General features: G+C 51.2%; 1 protein-coding gene across 20 annotated transcripts, besides 2 other annotated features; it reads left to right on the plus strand.

Moving 5' to 3' along the window:
• Window positions 1-930: 930 nt before the first annotated feature.
• CES4A (carboxylesterase 4A) lies at window positions 931-22,759 on the plus strand. 20 transcript variants are annotated; one of them, XM_011523021.3, is made up of 15 exons: window positions 931-1,172; window positions 7,970-8,171; window positions 8,402-8,521; window positions 12,980-13,121; window positions 13,199-13,344; window positions 13,650-13,803; window positions 15,412-15,516; window positions 15,598-15,702; window positions 15,857-15,895; window positions 16,426-16,566; window positions 17,135-17,215; window positions 17,582-17,735; window positions 18,733-18,861; window positions 19,087-19,159; window positions 21,316-22,759. In XM_011523021.3, the coding sequence occupies exons 1-15, from the start codon at window positions 1,046-1,048 to the stop codon at window positions 21,482-21,484; spliced, it is 1,887 nt and encodes a 628-aa protein (XP_011521323.1). In that variant the 5' UTR covers window positions 931-1,045; the 3' UTR covers window positions 21,485-22,759. The 20 variants fall into 20 exon arrangements, with proteins under 20 accessions (XP_011521323.1, XP_011521325.1, XP_011521329.1 ...); XM_011523023.3 differs by having other exon boundaries at window positions 13,199-13,332; XM_011523027.3 differs by lacking the exon at window positions 18,733-18,861.
• Window positions 3,968-4,262: a silencer, noted in NCBI's record as "tiled region #2980; K562 Repressive non-DNase unmatched - State 22:ReprW". NCBI's record gives its function as "represses a minimal TATA promoter and a strong SV40 promoter by Sharpr-MPRA in K562 cells {active_cell/tissue: K562}" and the evidence as "EXISTENCE:reporter gene assay evidence [ECO:0000049][PMID:27701403]".
• Window positions 13,348-14,249: an enhancer, noted in NCBI's record as "H3K27ac-H3K4me1 hESC enhancer chr16:67034909-67035810 (GRCh37/hg19 assembly coordinates)". NCBI's record gives its function as "activates a minimal SCP1, AML or CMV promoter by ChIP-STARR-seq in naive H9 embryonic stem cells {active_cell/tissue: H9 hESC(naive)}" and the evidence as "EXISTENCE:reporter gene assay evidence [ECO:0000049][PMID:30033119]".
• Window positions 22,760-23,015: the final 256 nt, after the last annotated feature.

Raw genomic sequence — 23,015 nt, forward strand, 5'->3', positions numbered from 1 at the left:
TGGTCTCGATCTTCTGACCTCGTGACCCGCCTGCCTCAGCCTCCCAAAGTGTTGGGATTACAGGCATGAGCCACCGTGCCTGGCCTATTTATTTTTGAGACAGGGTCTCACTCTGTCACCCAGGCTGGAGTGCAGTGGCCCGATCTCGGCTCACTACAACCTCCGCCTCCCAGGTTCAAGCCATCCTCCTGCCTCAGCCTCCTGAGTAGCTGGGACTACAGGCACACACTACCACGCCCAGCTAATTTTTGTATTCTTTGTTTTAGTAGAGACGGGGTTTCACCATGTTGGCCAGGCTGGTCTCGAACTCCTGACCTCAGGTGATCCACCTGCCTCAGCCTTCCAAAGTGCTGGTATTACAGGCATGAGCCACCACACCCAGCCCCATCTTACCTTTGACTGAAGATGGGACTGCTGTCTCCTTGCTTCCACCTCCCACACTTGCTCCTGTGGCTCCAAACTTCAAACAGGATCTTTCTTTGCCTGGCCCACTCCTCCTCATCCTTTACTTAGAAGATTAGATCTTTTCCAGGGAATCTTCATTCCCACCACCCGGCTCTGGGCTCACTCCTCGGGTGCCCCTCTGGGCTCCCACATTACGGTTGCTTTCAGGTCCAGCTTCCGCATGTGGACTATGAAACTGTGAGGACAGCCAAGGGTCAGCATGTGCGAGGAAAGGCAGGGAAGAGGCTAGACGAGGCACTGGGGAGCAGGGAGGCCCAAGACCCTTAAATCCACAGACAGGAAGCCCTGGCTGAAGGGCCAAGTAACCAGGTGTTCTACTTCAATCTTGGCACCCACTGTATGCTTAGACCTTGACTCACACATGTTCAGCTTTAAGCCACTGCACAGATGAGCAAACGGGGCGGAGATTGCAGGCTGATCAGTTTGAAGAGCCAAGATCATCTAGCGTGACCTGTTGCCCAAGGCAGAGACAAGGCTGTGGGCTGGTCAGAAGCTGGTTACAATTCCTCCCGCCCCAGTACTTGCTGGCAGGGATTAAGAGCAGATAAAAGTGTGCTCACACACTGTAGACACGGCTACCATGCCATCCACAGTGTTGCCATCCACAGTGTTGCCATCACTCCTGCCCACAGCAGGAGCTGGCTGGAGCATGAGGTGGATTCTGTGCTGGAGCCTCACCCTCTGCCTGATGGCGCAGACGGCCTTGGGTAAGACCCCCACCCCTTCCCGAGAGTGTCAGGCAAGACGGGCACAAGGGATGGAGGGACAGGCCCCAGTTCAACCTCTCCTGGGGACAGCAGGGCAGGAGCACTTAGACAAGGCCTGGGCAAATGGAGGGTAGGGTTTCAGGACACTAAACCATCTACCAGCTGGGAGTCTGGACAAGTCCTTTAGCCTCCCTGAACCTCAGGGCTTCTCTGTATTTCCTGCCTCCCGGCACAGGTGAAGGGGTCTGAGAACATGGCCACATCTTTTCTTCCTTCCCACCTTTTTCCTTCCTTCCATCCTTCTTTCCTTCTCCTAAGCAGGAGGCCTGTCTCTGCCCCCTCTCTGCTACATGAACCTCTTTACCACCTTCAAATTTCTCCCCAATATCTTTCTTTTTAAAATGAGTACTACACTTTTTACTGTGAAAACAATCTAATACATTAACAAAAGTTTACTGAGGTATAAGATGTATACAGCAAGGTGCACACATCTTCACTGTATAATTATATCTATTATACTAATTATTATATATATATATATGGTAACCATTATCCAGATCAACATCTAGAACATTTCCAGTGGGTTAGGCATGGTAGCTCATGCCTGTAATTCCAGCACTTTGAGAGGCTGAGGTGGGAGGATTACTTGAGCCCAGGAGTTTGAGACCAGCCTGGGCAAATAGTGAGACCTAGCCTGGGTAAATAGACTCTGTCTCTATTTTTAAAAAACATTTTTTAAAAAGTTTTTTTAACTTACAAGGATACACCTGTAATCCCAGCACTTTGGGAGGCCGAAGCGGGCAGATCACCTGAGGTCAGGAGTTTGAGACCAGCCTAACCAATATTATTACCCCGTCTCTACTAAAAATACAAAACTAGCCAGGCATGGTGGCACATGCCTGTAATCCCAGCTACTCAGGAGGCTGAGGCAGGAGAATCGCTTGAAGCCAGGAGGCAGAGGTTGTAGTGAGCCGAGATCGTGCCATTGCACTCCAGCCTGGGCAACAAGAGCGAAACTCTATCTCAAAAAAAAAAACAAAAAACCATCTCCAGCGTCCCATGTACTCCTTCTCAGTCAATACTCAAAGTTACCACTAGTCTGACCTCTATCATAAATAAATTTTGCCCATATATACATATATCCATTATTTTAAATTTGAAGGAAACTTTGCTTACTCCGCTTTTAACATTTTGGCGCATTTTCTTTTCATCTTTTCTTTTTTTTTTTTTTTTTTTTTGAGACGGAGTCTCGCCCTGTCACCCAGACTGGTGTGCAATGGTGCCATCTCCGCTCACCGCAACCTCCACCTCCCGGGTTCAAGCAATTCTCCCCACCTCAGCCTCCCAAGTAGCTGGGACTACAGGCGTACACCACAAGCCCAGCTAATTTTTGTATTTTTTTAGTGGAGATGGGGTTTCGCCATGCTGGCCAGGCAGGTCTCGAAATTCTGACCTGAGATGATCCACCTGCCTCGGCCTCCCAAAGTGCTGGGACCGCAGGCATGAGCCACCATGCCCAACCTCTTTTCACCTTTTCATTGTGTATTTATCTATAGCTGTACTATTAGAATGTACACAATTTTAAGCCAAATGGGGTGGCTCATGTCTATAATCCCAGCATTTTGGGAGTCTGATGTGGGAGGATTGCTTAAGCTCAGGAGTTCAAGACCAGCCTGGGCAACATAACTAGAGCCCATCTGAACAAAAAATTTAAAAATTAGCCAAGCATGGTGTGGTGCATGCCTGCAGTCCCAACTGCTCGAGAGGCTGAAGTGAGAGGCTCACTTGAGTTTGGGAGGTGGAGGCTGTAGTGAGCTATGATCATGCCACTGCCTTCCAGCCTGGGCAACAGAGGGAGACCTTGTCTCAAAAAAAGAAAAAAATAAGGGAAAGAAAAGAAAAGAAAGAATGAATGAATAAACACAATTTTATATTCTGGGGTTTTTCTTTTTTTTTTTAATTTAAGTTATTACCAAAAGCAGTTTAAAGTTTGAGTCTGTAGTTACATTGGCCTTGCTTGGTCCCCAGATATAAATGATGCTTCCAGTATTCACTATGGTATAGATAAATTTAGTTCAGAAAGGTCTTTGTTTTCATGTGTTTCTGACTATTTTCACAGGGGAGAGACCCAGAAGTGGAATTACTGAGTGAAGGCATGTGAACTTTTCTTTTCTTTTCTTTTCTTTTCTTTTTTGGTTGTTGTTTTGTTTTTGAGATGGAGTCTCACTCTGTCTCCCAGGCTGGAGCACAGTGATGCGATCTTGGCTCACTGCAACCTCCACCTCCTGGGTTCAAGCAATTCTCCTATCTCAGCCTCCCGAGTAGCTGGGATTACAGGCACGCACCACCACGCCCAGCTAATTTTTGTATTTTTAGTAGAGACAGGGTTTCACCATGTTGGCCAGGCTGGTCTCGAACTCCTGACCTCCAGTGATCCACCTGCCTTGACCTCCCAAAGTGCTGGGATTACAGGCGTGAGCCACCACACCAGCTGGCAAGTGAACTTTTCATGGCTTTGTATACATTTCGCCAAATTATTTTCCCAAGGCATTGTATCAGTTTATCCTCCACCAACAGTATATGTGAATGTCCTTTTCACTGTATCTTCACCAGAATTAGATGCCATCACTTTTAAATTTATTAGGTCTAAGTTGTAACTCCTGGTTTTAGTTAGCACTTTATGACCACCAGTAAGGTGGAATATTGTTTTCATAGGTGCTTACATGCTGCCTCTGGGTAGCAGAGCTGGGATGGGGACCACTCCATGGCAGCTCATGCTCAGGGGTCTAGAGCACTCTGCTACATGGCTAGGTGCCCCTTGGAGGCTAGGGAGCCGACAGAAAAACATGGTTTAAGGCACTGCTCTGATGTAAGATACTTTTCTGTGTGACCTTGGCCAACTTATATAACCCCTTTGAGCTTCAGCTTCCACATTTGTATAGTTTTGTAACAATAACATTTGCCCTATAAGGTTTTCAGAAAAATGAGGTGAGGCTGGGCGTGGTGGCTCATGCATGCCTGTACTCCCAGAACTTTGGGAGGCCAGAGTGGGAGGATCACTTGAGGCCAAGAGTTCAAGACCAGCCTGGGTAACAAAGTGAGACCCTGTCTCTACAAAAAAGAAAAAGAAAAAAAGAAAAAAATGAGGTGAGATAATTTAAAGTGTTTGGCAGAGCACCCAGGCTATAATGAAGGCCCAGTAAATTATAGCTATTGGCTATTCCACCATGAGTGGACCCTGGATTCAGGGCAAATCCAGGTAATGGGTTAGACCTTGGCCTCCTGGCTGTGTCCTGTGAGACTGCAGGCTGGTCACGGCCCCCCTCTGGGTCTTTGGGCCTCCCCCAGCTCCTCCCAAGTCCAGTGGAGAAGCCCATGTGAAAGAGCTTTGTAAACTGCAAAGGCTGCACAAACGGGAGATTTGAGCTGGCCCTTGCCGCTGCTGGCCTGCCTCCATGTTTGAAGGGTCTCCATTGCAGTCACTTCTTTTTGCCCAGATATTGCTTATGTGAGACCTGTAGAGACCTGGGGGCATGGGCAGAGAGGCATTTTTGGCCACCTGCAGCTGGGAGTGTGAAGGTGTGCTCTATTGCATCAATTCCAAATCCTATTCCAAAAACCATTTGCATCAAAATCTGGGGAGGTTTGCAACCCTGAGATTCTCATCAGAGAGTGTGGGGTGGGGCCAAGGAATACATATTTTTGCAATGATCCTCCAGGTGATTCTGATGCACAGATAGGTTCGCTAATTACTTGGATCAGGTCTGCTTTCTGTCACTTTACAGAATGAGCTCCATAGGACCGGAGCACAGAACAATTTAGTTTGGGTTTTTGTTGTTTGTTTTTTGGTTTTTTGTTTGTTTGTTTTGAGATGGAGTCTTGCTCTGTTGCCCAGGCTGGAGTATAGAGTGATCTCTGCTCACCGCAACCTCCTCCTCGCGGGTTCAAGAGATTCTCCTACCTCAGCCTCCTAAGTAGCTGGGATTACAGGCTTGTGCCGCTGGCCTGGCTAATTATTATTATTGGTTTTTTTTTAGTAGAGATGGGGTTTCACCATGTTGGCCAGACTGGTCTTGAACTCCTGACCTCAGGTGATCCACCCGCCTCGGCCTCCCAAAGTTCTGGGCTTATAGGCGTGAGCCACCGTGCCCAGCCCAATTCGGTTTTGATAAAAGGAGGAGGGGGCAAATAGACAAGGGCACTTCAGGAAGGGACATTGGATGTGAGGCTTCAACGACTCTTGGCAATAGGAGTGGGGCAGGATGACAGCCTGGAAGAGGAAGAAAAGAGTATCCACGGGAAGTCGGATTCAACTTGGCCTATTTCATATCTATGCCAAGAGCTGGCTATGGTGTAAGTTTGCTTGCATTGTGTATGTGTGCTTGTGTGTGCGTGTAATAAGTATGCTGTAGATAGATTTGTTGTCACCTATGTACAACTGCACTTGTACGCATATGTATGTATGTATATGGACATGCATTTTACTCTTCTGTTTCTGCATGTTTCTTGGAGTGTTTGTTTGTCTGTTTTGAGACGGAGTCTCACTTTGTCACCCAGGCTGGAGTGCAGTGGCAAAATCTCGGCTCACTGCAACCTCCGCCTCCCGGGTTCAAGCGATTCTCCTGCCTCAGCCTCCCGAGTAGCTGGGATTACAGGTGCCCGCCACCACGCCTGGCTAATTTTTGTATTTTTAGTAGAGACAGGGGTTTCACCATGTTGGCCAGGCTGGTCTCGAACTCCTGACCTCAAGTGATCTGCCCACCTCGGCCTCCCAAAGTGCTGGGATTATAGGCGTGAGCCACTGCGCCTGGCCTTTTTCTGCATGTTCCTTTGTAGATGAGCTGTGCTCACATGTACCTATATCATAAATTAGCATGTACATGTGAGTATTAGATGCGAGTATGCATATGAGTAAGAATGCATATATGCGTGTATGATTTCTTCCTAGAAACATGCTGGGCTAATGTTAACAACAAGAACAGAGGCGTAGGCCGGGCGCGGTGGCTCATGCCTGTAATCCCAGCAGTTTGGGAGGCTGAGGCGGGCAGATCACAAGTTCAGGAGATCAAGACCATTCTGGCTAACATGGTGAAACCGTGTCTCTACTAAAAATACAAAAAATTAGCCGGGCATGGTGGCGGGTGCCTGTAGTCCCAGCTACTCGGGAGGCTGAGGCAGGAGAATGGCATGAACCTGGGAGGTGGGGCTTGCAGTGAGCCGAGATCGTGCCACTGCACTCCAGCCTGGGCGACAGAGCAAGACTCCATCTCAAAAAAAGGACAGAGGTGTAGCTATATTAATATCAGACAAACAGAAATCAAAATGAATAATGCATTTATTGCCATTAAATGACGCAGAGAAATAGCCCATATAATAGACATAAATTTTTATTTATTTATTTATTTATTTATTTATTTATTTTTTGAGATGGAGTCTCACTCTGTTGCCCAGGCTGGAGTGCAGTGGCGCGATCTCGGCTCACTGCAACCTCCGCTCCTGGGTTCAAGCAATTCTCCTGCCTCAGCCTCCTGAGTAGCAGTATTACAGGTGTGTGTCACCACGCCCAGCTAATTTTTGTATTTTTAGTAGAGACGGGGTTTCACCATTCCTGACCTCGTGATCCACCCACCTTGGCCTCCTGAAGTGCTGGGATTACAGGCGTGAGCCACCGCGCGCAGCCGACATGAACTTTTATATGCTTACTGATAGGGATTTGAAATGTTAAATGAGGTCGGGCACGGTGGCTCATGCCTATAATCCCAGCACTTTGGGAGGCCAAGGCGGGCGGATCACGAGGTCAGGAGATAGAGACCATCCTGGCTAGTACGGTGAAACCCCATCTCTACTAAAAATACAAAATTAGCCAGGCATGGTGGTGCATGCCTATAATTCCAGCTACTCGGGAGGCCGAGGCAGGAGAATGGCTTGAACCCGGGAGGCAGAGGTTGCGGTGAGCCGAGATCACGCCATTGTACTCCAGCCTGGGCAAAAACAGCGAAACTCCATCTCAAAAAAAAAAAAAAATTAGCCAGGCGCGGTGCTGTGTGTCTGTAGTCCCAGCTACTCAGGAGGCTGGAGCAGGAGAATCACTTGAACCTGGAAGGTGGAGGTTGCAGTGAGCCAAGATTGGGCTATTGCACTCCAGCCTGGGCGATAGAGAAAGACCCCATCTAAATAAATAAATAAATAAATAAATGAGGGCCGGGCGTGGTGGCTCACACCTGTAATCCCAGCACTTTGGGAGGCCAAGGCGGGCAGATCACGAGGTCAGGAGATCGAGACCATCCTGGCTAGCATGGTGAAACACCGCCTCTACTAAAAATACAAAAATTAGCCGGGTGTGGTGGCGGGCGCCTGTGGTCCCAGCTGCTCTGGAGGTTGAGGCAGGAGAATGGCGTGAATCTGGGAGGCGGAGCTTGCAGTGAGCCGAGATTGCGCCACTGCACTCCAGCCTGGGCGACAGAGCAAGACTCCATCTCAAAAAATAAATAAATAAATAAATAAATAAATATAAATAAATAAACGAAACGTTAAAGGAGAGAAAAAATTCTGAGAGAAGCACAAGAAGAAGTGGACAGACACACAATGGTTATGATCAATTGTTATGAAAAGCAGCCACTGCTTCCCATGACAGATGGGCCAGGGTCCCATTTGTGGCTGAGTGGCTGCGCAGGGGTGACCCTTTTCCCCTCTCTTTCCAGGTGCCTTGGTCCCATTTGTGGCTGAGTGGCTGAGCCAGGGTCCCATTTGTGGCTGGGTGACTGAGCAGAGGTGACCCTTTTCCCTTCTCTTCCCAGGTGCCTTGCACACCAAGAGGCCTCAAGTGGTCACCAAATATGGAACCCTGCAAGGAAAACAGATGCATGTGGGGAAGACACCCATCCAAGTCTTTTTAGGAGTCCCCTTCTCCAGACCTCCTCTAGGTATCCTCAGGTTTGCACCTCCAGAACCCCCGGAGCCCTGGAAAGGAATCAGAGATGCTACCACCTACCCGCCTGGGTAAGAGTCAGAGGCCTGTCCACTGGGAGGGGGCAATGGGCCTATGCCTGCATCTGGGTGGGGCTTTGCACAGCTCACTGAGAAGAACTCACTGTGTGATCACAGGCAGGCCTGGGGCCCATTCTGGGCCTCAGTTTTCAGACCCGTATCATGAGCAAACTGGTCCTGATGGTGTTTACATCACTGACAATGCTGCTGTTGGTTTTTGTTTTTGTTTTTGTTTTTTTTAGATGGAGTCTCGCTCTGTCGCCAGGCTGGAGTGCAGTGGCACGATCTCGGCTCACTGCAACCTCCGCCTCCCGGGTTCAAGCGAGTCTCCTGCCTCAGCCTCTGAGTATCTGGGGCTACAGGTACGTGCCACCATGCACACCTAATTTTTGTATTTTTAGTAGAGACAGGGTTTCATTATGTTGGCCAGGATGGTCTCGATCTCTTGACCTCGTGATCCACATGCCTCGGCCTCCCAAAGTGCTGAGATTACAGGCATGAGCCACTGCGCCTAGACTTGTTGTTGGTTTCTTAGAGGAGAGCTCCAGGCAAGGGGGAGGCTGTCACCGACCGTGCTCCAGCACCTGCTGGGGAGCTGCGTTTTCCTAAATGTGTCTGAGGGGCAGTGTTCACTCTCACATCACCCCCCTGACCCAGTCCGGAGCTCTTCCCTCTCTCTGGGGGCTGAGCCCTGAGTCACAGAAGCATAATTAGAACAATGACTGCCCTTTGAAGCACTGGGCTTGGCGATTTACCCAGAACAAGTGTATTTACTGTTTATTCAGACTATTGAGTAATCCACTGTCCAGAACATTCTGTGGCAATCATTAACAATGCTCAGCATCAGTTGGTTAAAGCACAGGGTTTAGAAAAATGTCTGAGAACCTGGGTATCAGCTGATATAAAAAGATACAAATACCACCCCAGGTGTCTAGCTGTTAAAAACAGGTTGTTGGCTGGGCACAGTGGCTCACACTTGTAATACCAGAATTTTGATAGGCCAAGGCAGGAGGACTGCTTGAACCCAGGAGTTCAAGACCAGCCTGGGCAGCATGGCAAGACCCCATATCTACAGAAAATTTTAAAAAAATATCTGGGGGTGGTGGTGAGCACCTGTGGTCCCAGTTACTCTAAAGGCTGGGGTGGGAGGCTCACTTGATCAAAGCCCAAGGGATCATGGTTGTAGTAAGCCATGAGTGCACCACTGACTGCACTCCAGCCTGAGCCACAGAGTGAGACCCTGTCTCAAAAAAAAAAATAAAAGCAGGTTGTCCACTGTTAGAACATGACTAGCAGTTACTAAAATACCAGAACGTTCCTTGTCAGAACATTGGCTGTCACCGATAAGATCCCAGTTATCCTGAACATTCTGTGACTTATTTAGAATCCCAAAGATCAGGTGACAGAACATGGGATGGCCACTGTTAGAACCCTGGAGATCAGGGATTTAGAGGTTAGAGTGTTCACTGTATAGAAGTCTGGGCATCAGTTGTTAGAAACTGACCATGAGCTGTCAAAACAATGGCTGTTTGGAAACGGAGTGTCAGGTGTAAGAATTTGTGGATTGCTCAGAATAGCCCATGGGGTGGTGGTTGGGGTGGGCAGCGGGAGAGGAGGATGTTTCAAAGATAGTAGTTTCTGCCTGGGTAGTTACGGGGGAGGTGGAAGGAAGGTATCAGACTCCAAATTTATTTTGAAAGTAAAATTGGCAGGATTTGCTGGAGAATTGGATATAAGCCACAAGGAAAGAAGAGGAATCACTGATAATGACTAGTTTTTGGCCACAGTAGACAAGGAAATAGGGGTACCATTTATCAAAATGAGGAAAACTGGAGCAAGAGCAAGTTTGGGCAAAATAGGAATTCATTTTGAGCCAGGAGCAGTGGCTCATGCCTGTAATTCCAGCACTTTGGGAGGCCGAGGCAGGAAATCACTTGAGCTCAGGAGTTTGAGACCAGCTTGAGCAATGTAGTGAGACCCTGTCTCTACAAGAAATTTAAAAAATTAGCTGGGCGCAGTGCCGTGGTCCTAGCTACTTGGGAGGCTGAAGTAAGAGGATTGCTTGGGCTTGGGAGGTTATGATCGTGCCACTCACACTTAGCCTGAGAGACAGAGTGAGACCCTATCTAAAACACACACACACACACACACACACACACACACACACACACACACACACACAGTTCCTTTTGGGGCCTATTAAATTTGACGTGCTGACAGATGTTCCACGTGGAGGGGCGGTAAGGTGGCTGGAGAGAGAAGACAGAAGGCAAACTGATCATCAGCACATCAGTGGTGTGAAGCCCCTGGGCCTGGATGATGGGAGAAAGGATGGTCAGAAAAAAAAACAAAAACTGAGGGTCGAGGACTGGGCACTCTCATGCTTAGGCCTGGAGAGAAGGAGGAACCACCAATGAGGTGGCAGGAATATCAGGAGCACGGGGTGTTACAGAAGCCCAGAGAAGGAAAGCTGTTCGAGAAAGATAATCTGGCCGGGCGAGGTGGCTCTCACCTGTAATCCCAACACCTTGGGAGGCTGAGGTGGGAGGATCCCTTGAGGCTAGGAGTTCCATACCAACCTGGGCAACATAGTGAGACCCTGTCTCTACAAAAAAATTAAAAATTATCCGGTGTGATGGTGCGTGCTTGTAGTCCTAGCTACTTGGGAGGTTAAGGATCACTTGAGCCCAGGAGGTCAAGGCTGCAGTGAACTATGATCATGTCACTGCATTGCTGCCTGGGTGACCCTGTCTCTAAAGAAAGAGAGGAGGCTGGGCACCGTGGCTCATGCCTGTAATCCCAGCACTTTGGGAGGAAGAGGCGGGTGGATCACGAGGTCAGGAGTTCGAGACCAGCCTGACCAACATGGCGAAACCCCGTCTCTTCTAAAAATACAAAAATTAGCTAGGTGTCGTGGCATGTGCCTCAGGAGGCTGAGGCAGTGAGCTGATATCTCCCACCTGAACCCAGGAGGCAGAGGTTGCAGTCAGCCAAGATGGTGCCACTGCACTCCAGCCTGGCCGACAGAGCGAGACTCCATCTCAAACAAAAAAAAAAAAGAGAGGAGATAGAGCAAAGGGGAATATAATATGGTCAACCATGTTGAGGGCTGTCAGGGCAAGTAAGATAATGACAGAGATTTAGCAAGATGGATGTCACTGGTGACCATGGCAGGATGGCTCTGATGGTGGGATGGGCACAGAAGCCTTGGCTGTTCATAATCCCAGTTCCCAGCTATCAGAGCCCTGGCTTTCCTGGTGAGGTGCTAGGTGTGGTTTACTAGACAGCATTCTAATACCACATTAGCTGCTGCCAAAGGAGTGTTGGAATGCTGTAGGGAAGGACTGGTGAAAGGGAGCAGGTGATGCTCTGGGAACAGGCTAGGCTAGGACAAGAGCAGAAGGGAGCAGAGGAACAGGCGAGGCAAACAGGGTGTCCTGCGCCCAATCAAATGGTCCAGGCCCAGCTGTTATGAGAATAGCCACCTAGGGGTTGGGCCAGCAAGGAGAAAAGGTGAGGTGGCCGGAGAGCCCATGCTACAAAAATACCCCAAATATCCACACAGTATAAGGCACTGGGCTGGGTGCCAGTACTCAGATGAATCTACCTCTATTCCTGCCTTTGGGAAGTGCATGGTCACTTGGGGAGAAAAACAGCCAACTGAAATAACTCCAACCAGGACATGGTCAACAGCGGACAGGAGGCCAGGCATGGTGGCTCATGCCTATAATCCCAGCACTTTGGGAGGCCGAGGTGGGCAGATCACTTAAGGCCAGGAGTTCGAGACCAGCCTGGCCAACATGGTGAAACCCCGACTCTACTAAAAATACAAAAATTAGCTGGGTGTGATGGCGCGTGCCTGTAGTCCCAGCTACTTGCAAGATTGAGGTAGGAGAATTGCTTGAACCTAGAGGCAGAGGTAGCAGTGAGCCAAGATCGTGCCACTACACTCCAGCCTGGGCAACAGAGCAAGACTCTGTCTCAAAAAAATAAGTGGACAGGATGTCGGGAGGCACAGAAGAGGAAGTGACCAGGAGAGGAGACACCACTTAAGCTGGGCCTTAAACACGAATAGGAGTTTGCTGGGCAGGGCAGAAGGCATTTGCTTGAGAGGACTGAGGCCCACGGGCTTGGAGGTGGGAGGCAAGGGGCCACATGTATCTACAGCAAAGGGTGGCTGGGACAGAGATGACTGGATGGAAAGGAGGGCCTGGGTACTCCGCGTATCTTAACTTTATCCTGAGGGCAGTGGAGAGCCAGGGAAGATTTTTGTTGATTTGTTTGTTTTTATTGATATATCATAGTTGTACATATTAGGGAAGATATGAAGAAGAGGAGTGACATAGTCCGCCAGAGTGTGGCCGAGGAGTAGGAGGAGTGTGAAGAGGCTGGGGTACTGTCCAGACCAGAGACGGTGGTGGCCTTGACATCTCCCCAGAGATGGGGATGGAGGGGAGGGACCATATTCCAGAGCTGTTTGGGAGGCAGAAGGGAGACTGAGGGGAGGGTGGGGCATGAAAGACAGGGAGGTGCCCAGGGCAGGCAGGTTCCTGCCTTGACAGCACCAACAGGAGCAGGAATCTCTCCACGGACTGAGGCGCCGGGCAGGGAGGGGATGGTTCCTGAGAGGCCAACCTGCCTCCCAGTCCTGGGCCCCGGGGCTGGCGGAGGCCTCCTGTACACGCACACGCACGCACATGCGCACGCACACGCACGCGCACAGACGCTGCCTGGATTTTGCTTTGGGTTCCGTCTTCTCACTGCGGACCCTGGATTGAAACGATCTCCCCGCGGCCGCCGCCGCTACCTGGTGCCCGCAGGTGCCTGCAGGAGTCCTGGGGCCAGCTGGCCTCGATGTACGTCAGCACGCGGGAACGGTACAAGTGGCTGCGCTTCAGCGAGGACTGTCTGTACCTGAACGTGTACGCGCCGGCGCGCGCGCCCGGGGATCCCCAGCTGCCAGTGAGTGCCAGGTCTCCCGCGCCCGCGGTCCCACCGCCGCCCACCGCCCCGCTCAGATCCCGGCCTTCTTCGTCCAGGTGATGGTCTGGTTCCCGGGAGGCGCCTTCATCGTGGGCGCTGCTTCTTCGTACGAGGGCTCTGACTTGGCCGCCCGCGAGAAAGTGGTGCTGGTGTTTCTGCAGCACAGGCTCGGCATCTTCGGCTTCCTGAGGTGGCGGGGCCGGTACCCTTTGGGACCGCAGCTGTGGCCAGAGCGGCGGGGACTGGGTGGGAAGGGAGGGGCGGGGCCTGGGGCGGGGATGGGGGGGGTGGGGCCGCGAGGCGGGGGCGGGGCCTGGCGCTCGGTGGAAGGGGCGGGCGCTCCATACCATCTGGATGGGGCGAGCTAACTCCAAGGAAGGGGGTGTGGTCGCAGGACTGGGTCTTAGAGGGGCAAGGCTGGGCTGGGTGGGGGAAGCCCAGGAGGGCAGCCCAACGCGCCCCGACTGTCGAGGCCCGGGACCCTGACAGTGAACCCCACACGCCCAGCACGGACGACAGCCACGCGCGCGGGAACTGGGGGCTGCTGGACCAGATGGCGGCTCTGCGCTGGGTGCAGGAGAACATCGCAGCCTTCGGGGGAGACCCAGGAAATGTGACCCTGTTCGGCCAGTCGGCGGGGGCCATGAGCATCTCAGGACTGGTGAGAGCAATGCCCAGACGGACCGAGCACAGACTTAGGCTCCTGCGTTCCCACAAATGTATGCTCCACTGCACAGGCCATGTGCAGATTTGCGTGTACAGGAACGTGCCTGCCACAGAAATGCTCTCGCCCCTGCCAAGGGTACAGCCCCTCATAGCCAAGGATGTCTCCTCTGTTGAGGGATAGCACTGATGAGAAAACTGAGCCCCAGGAAGGGTAGTGCTGAGGCTTGGGGTAATCAGTGAATCCAGGTGCTACCCAGCACCTTCTGCCTCTCCACATTCCCCCAGAACTCTATCCCCTGAACAGAGCCCACCATCTGCCCCCTGGGCAAGGCTAGGACCTCACACCAGGCCTGCAAGCCAGGGGCATGAGTTGACGGGCTTTGCCCCTGACTCCTGTGTGACTGCTGACCTGGGATGTGCCTGGAATGTGGGTGTACTGTAAGGTGCCCTGTGAGGGGCATATGGCTGGGAAGTGAACACATCACACAGGACATTGCTGGCCACAGTCATAATAATACTCAACAGCTGAGCACTTCCTGTGTGCCAGGCATTCTTCTAAGCACCTTATGTGTCGTCATCCATGTAATTCCTTCAATAGTCCAAAAAGAAAAGTACTGTTGTCTCCATTCTACAGATAAAGAAACGAAGGCCCAGAGAATTAAGCAACTTTATCCAAAATTCACTAAAAAGCAGAGGAAAAAAAAATTTTTTTTTTTGAGACGGAGTTTCGCTCTTGTTGCCCAGGCTGGAGTGCAATGGCGTGATCTCAGCTCACCATTACCTCCGCCTCCCGGGTTCAAGCGATTCTCCAAAGCAGGGAAAGATTGTAAGCAGCAAAGTGACATGATCAGATGTGCATTTAGAGAGATGGCTCAGCCTGCTGCATGGGACTGGGTTGGCAAGAAACAGGAGCAGAGACTCGGAGAGCTACTGGGAGGGGCAGGGATGGGGATAGGATATATCCTAGGAGAGATCATGGGGCTGGCTCTAAAGCAGGGGCAGGAAAGATGGAGAGCAGAGGATGGCTCAGAGTGATCCAGGAGGCCAAATGGGCAGGACTAGGGCAGCTGGGGTGTGGTCATTAGCAGAGATAGGGAAGGCCCCTGGGGCTGGGGGATGGTATGGGGTAAGGAATGCCACCCAGACAGGGATTGGCTGGAGCAGGTTTGGGGCATATGAAGTCTGAGGTATCCAAGGGACAGGATGGGAGGCCCTAGATGTACTTGTTCCCCCAACTTGGGCAGTGGAGAGAGGCTAACAGCTGTCAGCACAGGTAACAACCTGGGGAAACCATGAGGTCCCTTCCACCTACCCCTCATTTCTAGCCCTAAAGTAGAGGGAGACCACTTTTCCACACCAGCAGATTCCCTCCCCCAATCTCACATCCCCTCTGGAACCCACTGGGGCCCACTGTACAGACCAGAGGCAGGAATACCACTGGCTTTAGGTCTAGGACATCACCCCAGGACTCCTGACTCCCTCCCAGCTACTTGCCCTTCCTGGCTTCACTCAGGCTGCCTGCCCATGGCCAGACAGATGCCCAGAACAGCCCAGGTGTCTCTACTTGGGCATCTCACGGGTGTATTCCTCCCTGTTCTTGCAGATGATGTCACCCCTAGCCTCGGGTCTCTTCCATCGGGCCATTTCCCAGAGTGGCACCGCGTTATTCAGACTTTTCATCACTAGTAACCCACTGAAAGTGGCCAAGGTGAGTGCCTCTCCTTCCCCAGGGCTCAGCATGGAAGGGCAGGATGGAAGCACCACTGAGCATCCTTTCTTCTCTCTATAGAAGGTTGCCCACCTGGCTGGATGCAACCACAACAGCACACAGATCCTGGTAAACTGCCTGAGGGCACTATCAGGGACCAAGGTGATGCGTGTGTCCAACAAGATGGTAGGTAGAACATTCCAGCTGCCTGACCTGGCTGCCTGAGGGCCATCCTCCTATCCTGGTACCCAGCCACCCCCAACTACTTCCCCAGGGACCCTGTCTCAAGAGCACACGAGGGAGACTTCCTTTAACTCTGATCCCTTCCTCTCCCCCATAGAGATTCCTCCAACTGAACTTCCAGAGAGACCCGGAAGAGGTAAACAGGCCACATTCTGCAATTTGAGTATTTATTTAACACCTACTTTGTGCCAGGCACTTGGGATACTTAGGGAATTGTTCAGGCCAAGATCCCTTCCCTAGTGGAGCTGATGTTCCAGTGGGGAAGGAGAATAAACCCTATAAATAAATATATTATCCACCTCCTTAGAAGGTGATAGGTGAATAGCAAGGAATGGAGAGGGTAAAGGGGTTGGACATTTTGGGAGGTATGGACTTTTAAATAGAATGGCTAGAACAGGACTCAGTGAAGTGAAATTTAGCAAAGATTTTCAAGAGGTGAAGGAGTGAGCTATACAGATACCCGCGGCCATCCCAAGTCCACGTAATTTGGTCCTGCCTATCCTGCTCCCCTCCCACACCCATCCTCCTGGGGCTCACCATGCCAGCCCCAGCCTTTTCCCAATCAAAGAACCTAGGCTAGAGCAGCCTCTGAAGGGGCACCCAAGGTTGCAGGGACCCTGGGAGGATACTTGAGGAGACTGGCTGGAAATGCCCTTTGCCTTGTAGATTATCTGGTCCATGAGCCCTGTGGTGGATGGTGTGGTGATCCCAGATGACCCTTTGGTGCTCCTGACCCAGGGGAAGGTTTCATCTGTGCCCTACCTTCTAGGTGTCAACAACCTGGAATTCAATTGGCTCTTGCCTTATGTAAGTGAGTAGGAGTTCAATTGGCTCTTGCCTTACGTAAGTGAGTACCATAGTGGAGGCAGGGAAGGATGCCTCTTGGACGGTGCTGGGCACCAGGTCAGATGCCAGTAGCCCCTCTGTGGATGCCCTATGTTTGGGAGCCTCCTGTAGTCCCTGTACAGTGAAAACTGGCCATGAATGATGGAGGGGAAGAAGGGAGAAGTATGGCCTGCTGGAGATTTGAGGACCACAAATTCTCAGATCATAGTTTAGATGGGTTATGATGTTCATTCCCAAGCCTCTAGGCAACTGCAAATCCTGAAGCCCTCCCTTGCTCCTGGGTCAGGGTAGATGCCCCAACTCAGGATGGACCCCCACTCAGTACCACTTCAGCTCTGGCCCAGGTGGTAGTGATGAGCAGGATGGGAGCAGGGGGACAAGAGAGAGTCATGGGCCCTTCCTGGGCTGTGTGCTGTGTCTGATAACTCATCATTAGATGGGCAAGACCTTTGGGGCCTTTGTAGCTCTGGCCAGAATCCCTCCTAATGCTCAGGCCTGACCCACACTGGGGTCCTTGTCTTGTGAACAGATCATGAAGTTCCCGCTAAACCGGCAGGCGATGAGAAAGGAAACCATCACTAAGATGCTCTGGAGTACCCGCACCCTGTTGGTGAGGGACCCAGCTGGCAGGGGTGCTCAGTTCGGACAGGGTTGACCCCCCTGTTTTTTTTAACCTAGTAGCTGCTCTTTGCAAAGGGGCTCCCAGCCAGGGTAAGGATCTTTCTTGGAGGGTCTGGGGTTTGCTGTGGGATCAGATGACTGCTTACAGGTAAGGTGCTCAGGGTCACAGGGGCAGTTATGCAGCAAAATCAGGGGTTACAATCAGCAGAGACAGAAACTTTCCCAGGAAGCTCCCTTTCTCCCCCTCCCAGGCCAAAAACTCCTGGGGGGCTGAGCATGGATCCAAGTCACTGGTGGGCCCACCTCTGGCCCAGCTGGCACCCAGGCCTCAGGTAAGTGTGGCCTCCTCACTCAGAATATCACCAAGGAGCAGGTACCACTTGTGGTGGAGGAGTACCTGGACAATGTCAATGAGCATGACTGGAAGATGCTACGAAACCGTATGATGGACATAGTTCAAGATGCCACTTTCGTGTATGCCACACTGCAGACTGCTCACTACCACCGAGGTATGCAGGGTCCCCAAGAGTGGCCACACTGGCCCCGTCCACTCTCCAGGTGTGCTGTTTACCAACTGGGCTTATCGACTGCTCCCCTACCCTCTCTGTACTTCTGGGCTAGTATAGGATTCTAAGATATCACAGAGGAGGCAGCATGCTATCAACTACAAGAGAGGAAGGGGCCAGGCACGGTGGCTCACACCTGTAATCCCAGCACTTTGGGAAGCCGAAGTGGGTGGATCATTTGAGGCCAGGAGTTCTAGACCAGCCTCACCAACATGGTGAAAACCCATCTCTACTAAAAGTACAAAAAAATTAGCCAGCTGTAGTGGCGCATGCCTATAGTCCCAGCTACTCAGTAGGCTGACGCAGGAGAATCGCTTGAACCTGGGAGGGGGAGGTTGCAGTGAGCCGACATCACACCACTGCACTCCAGCCTGGGCAACAGAGCGAGACTCCATCTCAAAAAAAAAACAAAAAAAGTATAAGAGAGGAACTGTTCTTCCTTAGGAACAAGGGCAGGACCTCAAACAGTCCAGAGGAGAAGCCTGGGGTGGTCAGGGAAGGCTTCCTGGCTGAGAGGACAGGCTTAGGGGCACCTTGAAAGTTCAGGCTGACTGGGGCTAGGGGAACATGTGGGTAACAGGTTAAAGGGGGGGGGGCTGGAAAATGCAGACACCAAAGACCCTTCAATATGAGGCCAAGAAAGGAAGGTTCAGAACAGGGAAAAGGAAGGCTTCCATGATCCTGGCCACAATCCTGTGAATTAGGTTTTAGTATTCTCAGTCTGAAGATAAGGAATTATTGATACAATTCAGAAAGGTAGAGCAACTTGCTTTAGGTCACACAGTGAATGAGTAGTGCAGACAGGATTCAAGTCTGCCCCCTTGATTCTGAAGCCAAAGCTCTTTTTCCTGCTTGGTGCAGGTGAGTGGGAGGCATGGGGTGGATGAGAAGCCTAGGCAGAGGCTTTTCCTGCATCCCTCCTCAGTTTCCCTATTCACAGATGCCGGCCTCCCTGTCTACCTGTATGAATTTGAGCACCACGCTCGTGGAATAATCGTCAAACCCCGCACTGATGGGGCAGACCATGGGGATGAGATGTACTTCCTCTTTGGGGGCCCCTTCGCCACAGGTGCAAAGGTCCCACCTGATACCCCAACTGGGTGTCCAGTCTCCCACCTCTGGATGCAGACCCACCCCTCCATTGGCTGGCCACAGGGAGCTCACCAGTTCCTAATCTGTTATGCTCTCCCAAATGAAAGTCTTCTGCTCCGGAAGCAGCAGAAGCAGCAGGAGTAGGGTGGGAGGTCAGTGTCCCCTGCTCTGTCCGAAATCCCACATCCCATTCTGCCCCCAGGCCTTTCCATGGGTAAGGAGAAGGCACTTAGCCTCCAGATGATGAAATACTGGGCCAACTTTGCCCGCACAGGGTGAGTCTGCCCCCCAGCACATCTGGGCATTCTACCTGCCCAGTGCTGGACCTGAAGAAGCCAGCTGCTTCGGATATTTGCCCCAGCATGTCCTACAGGAACTGCCCAGTCGGCCCAAACAGGGTGCCCCTTCTTCTTCAGCTTTCCTCAGTCAGTCACCGGATCCTAAACGTCTCTAGAATGTGTCCTTCTTGATCCATGACCCACACTCTTCATTCACTCAAGCATTCCACAGTCATTCACCACTGCACTCTTTTGGGCCCAGCCCCAGTACTGGGAGCTGGAATTCAAGGATGTTGCAGACATGAGCCCCATCCTCCAGCAGCTCACCACATAAAATCAGGAAATTACAATCTGGTACGCTGAGAGCTGTACTGGGGGAGCACAAGGCACTTTGAGAGCATAGAGGAGGTGTCTGGCCCAGCCTAGGGGGCAGGTGACATGTAAAGAGAGCTTTGGCTAGCCTTGTGACTATTTTCTTAAAGTCTCGCTCTGTCACCCAGACTGGAGTGCAGTGGCGCAATCCCAGCTCACTGCAATCTCCGCCTCCCAGGTTCAAGCGATTCTCCCACCTCGGCCTCCTGAGGAGTTGGGATTACAGGCCACCACGCCTGGCTAATTTTTGTATTTTTGTAGAGGTGGGGTTTCACGTTGGCCAGGCTGGTCTTGAATTCCTAACCTCAAGCTATCCACCCACCTCGGCCTCTGAAAGTGCTGGGATTACAGGCATGAGTCACTGCGCCTGGCCTCTCTCCTTTCAAATCATCCTCCTTATGACACTCAAAGTGTCTTTCTTCTTCTTTTTTTTTTTAAATTTTTTTGAGACATGGTCTCACTCTGCTGCCCAGGCTAGAGTGTAGTGGTGCAATCACAGCTCACTGCAGCCTTGACCTCCCAGGCTCAAGCAGTCCTCTCACTTCAGCCTCCCAAGTAGCTGGGACTACAGACACATACCACCATGCCCGTCTAATTTTTTTTTTTTTTTGAGACAGAGTCTCGCTCTGTCACCCAGGCTGGAGAGCAGTGGTGCAATCTCAGCTCACTGCAAGCTCTGCTTCCCGGGTTTATGCCATTCTCCTGCCTCAGCCTACCGAGTAGCTGGGACTACAGGTGCCTGCCACCATGCCTGGCTAATTTTTTTGTATCTTTAGTAGAGACGAGGTTTCACCATGTTAGCCAGGATGGTCTCGATCTCCTGACCTTGTGATCTGCCCGCCTCGGGCTCCCAAAGTGCTGGGATTACAGGTGTGAGCCACCACGCCTAGCCTAATTTTTGTATTTTTTGTAGAGATGAAGTCTTGCTATTTTGCCCAGACTGGTCTCCAACTCCCGGGCTCAAGCAATTTTCTCACCTATGCCTCCCAAAGTGTTGGTCTTACAGGTGTTAGCCACCATACCCAGCCCAAGGGGTCTTTCTGAAATAACATCTGACCAAGTCACTCTCCTGTTTAAAACTCTTCATGGCTTCTCTCTGCCTCCAAGATAAAGTCCCAGCTCCTCAACCTTGCGTGAAAGGCCTTTCAAAATCTTTCCTATGTCATCTCCTTTCCACTTTGATCCCTTTCACACACTCTCTTTTTTTTTTGTTTTTGTGTTTGTTTTTGAGACAGTCTCGCTCTGTCACCCAGGCTGGAGTGCAGTGGCGCGATCTCGGCTCACTGCAATCTCCACCTCCCAGGTTCATGCTATTCTCCTGCCTCAGCCTCCCGAGTAGCTGGGACTACAGGCACCCGCCACCTCGCCCGGCTTTTTTTTTGTATATTTAGTAGAGACAGGGTTTCACCATGTTAGCCAGGATGGTCTCGATCTCCTGACCTCGTGATCCGCCCACCTCAGCCTCCCAAAGTGCTGGGATTACAGGCATGAGCCACCAGGCCTGGCCACACACACACTCTGTTTTTACCTAACTCTTGACTTGTGCTTCCTCCAAAAGCCTTGGTCTTTTATATCTCTCAACCTGGCACATACTGTTTGCTCTGCCTGGAAGGCCCACCCCAATACACACTTTCCTACTCTTTATTAAAGTTCTAAGTATCATCTCCGTAAAGCCCTCTGGAACCCCAAGTCCCAAGGGCAAATTAAACGAGGGAAGGGTGAAAGAAAGAAGCAGGATGAAAAGGAACACAGGTAATCCTCTCTTTTTTATTTCTGGGCAGAAACCCCAATGATGGGAATCTGCCCTGCTGGCCACGCTACAACAAGGATGAAAAGTACCTGCAGCTGGATTTTACCACAAGAGTGGGCATGAAGCTCAAGGAGAAGAAGATGGCTTTTTGGATGAGTCTGTACCAGTCTCAAAGACCTGAGAAGCAGAGGCAATTCTAAGGGTGGCTATGCAGGAAGGAGCCAAAGAGGGGTTTGCCCCCACCATCCAGGCCCTGGGGAGACTAGCCATGGACATACCTGGGGACAAGAGTTCTACCCACCCCAGTTTAGAACTGCAGGAGCTCCCTGCTGCCTCCAGGCCAAAGCTAGAGCTTTTGCCTGTTGTGTGGGACCTGCACTGCCCTTTCCAGCCTGACATCCCATGATGCCCCTCTACTTCACTGTTGACATCCAGTTAGGCCAGGCCCTGTCAACACCACACTGTGCTCAGCTCTCCAGCCTCAGGACAACCTCTTTTTTTCCCTTCTTCAAATCCTCCCACCCTTCAATGTCTCCTTGTGACTCCTTCTTATGGGAGGTCGACCCAGACTGCCACTGCCCCTGTCACTGCACCCAGCTTGGCATTTACCATCCATCCTGCTCAACCTTGTGCCTGTCTGTTCACATTGGCCTGGAGGCCTAGGGCAGGTTGTGACATGGAGCAAACTTTTGGTAGTTTGGGATCTTCTCTCCCACCCACACTTATCTCCCCCAGGGCCACTCCAAAGTCTATACACAGGGGTGGTCTCTTCAATAAAGAAGTGTTGATTAGACCTGAATTTCTCCACCTATAAAATGGGTGTGTGAAGTGAATGATGTCTCAATTTGAGCCCTGAGAGAAAGGAAGTATTGCTGCCTGTTCCTTAGTGGGCTGTGCCTGGATGCTACACTCAGTCAAAGGGTGCTACTGCAAAGTTGCCTGGGGTACAAAACACTTGCCTTTTGCCTTCATGGTCTCAAGTGCACCCCTCAGGACAGCCACACCCCACGCTCACTTGTCCATCAGTTTAGGTCTTAGTGCCACATCTAGATTCCTCTGGCCTCTCCTGCAGCCCGTGTGTATCCCAGCCTGTCCCACAGTTTTGTTTCGTTGTTTTGTGGGGTTTTTTTTTTTTTTTTTGAGACGGAGTTTTGCTCTTGTCACCCAGGCTGGAGTGCAATGATGAAATCTCAGCTCACTGCAGCCTCAGTCTCCCGAGTTCAAGCGATTCTCCTGCCTCAGCCTCCCAAGTAGCTGAGATTACAGATGCCCACCACCATGCCCGGCTTATTTTTGTATTTTTAGTAGAGATAGGGTTTCATCATGTCAGCCAGGCTGGTCTCAAACTCCTGACCTCAGGTAATCCACCCGTCTCAGCCTGCTGAAGTGCTGGAATTACAGGCATGAGCCACCATGCCTGGCCACTGTGGGCTTTTTGGTGGTAAAATACACACGACAAATTTTACCATTTTAACTATTTTTGTTTTTTGTTTTGTTTTTTGTGGTTTTTTTTTTTTTTTTTTTTTTGAGATGGAGTCTCGCTCTGTCGCCCAGGCTGGAGTGCAGTGGCACGTTCTCGGCTCACTGTGATCTCTGCCTCCCGGGTTCACGCCATTCTCCTGCCTCAGCCTCTCGAATAGCTGGGACCACAGGTGCCCGCCACAACACCCAGCTAATGTTTTTTTTTTTGTACTTTTAGTAGACGGGGTTTCACCATGTTAGCGAGGACGG

This window comes from Homo sapiens, chromosome 16, assembly GCF_000001405.40.
Source record: "Homo sapiens chromosome 16, GRCh38.p14 Primary Assembly".
Taxonomy (NCBI): Eukaryota; Metazoa; Chordata; class Mammalia; order Primates; family Hominidae; genus Homo; species Homo sapiens.

Bases quoted from the DNA above. Each gene is read 5' to 3' on its own strand.
- CES4A (XM_011523021.3), top strand. From the start codon at position 1,046: ATGCCATCCACAGTGTTGCCATCCACAGTGTTGCCATCACTCCTGCCC. The intron at 17,216-17,581 runs GTGAGGGACCCA...CTCCTCACTCAG, and splicing joins GGAGTACCCGCACCCTGTTG to AATATCACCAAGGAGCAGGT. The intron at 18,862-19,086 runs GTGCAAAGGTCC...TTCTGCCCCCAG, and splicing joins TGGGGGCCCCTTCGCCACAG to GCCTTTCCATGGGTAAGGAG.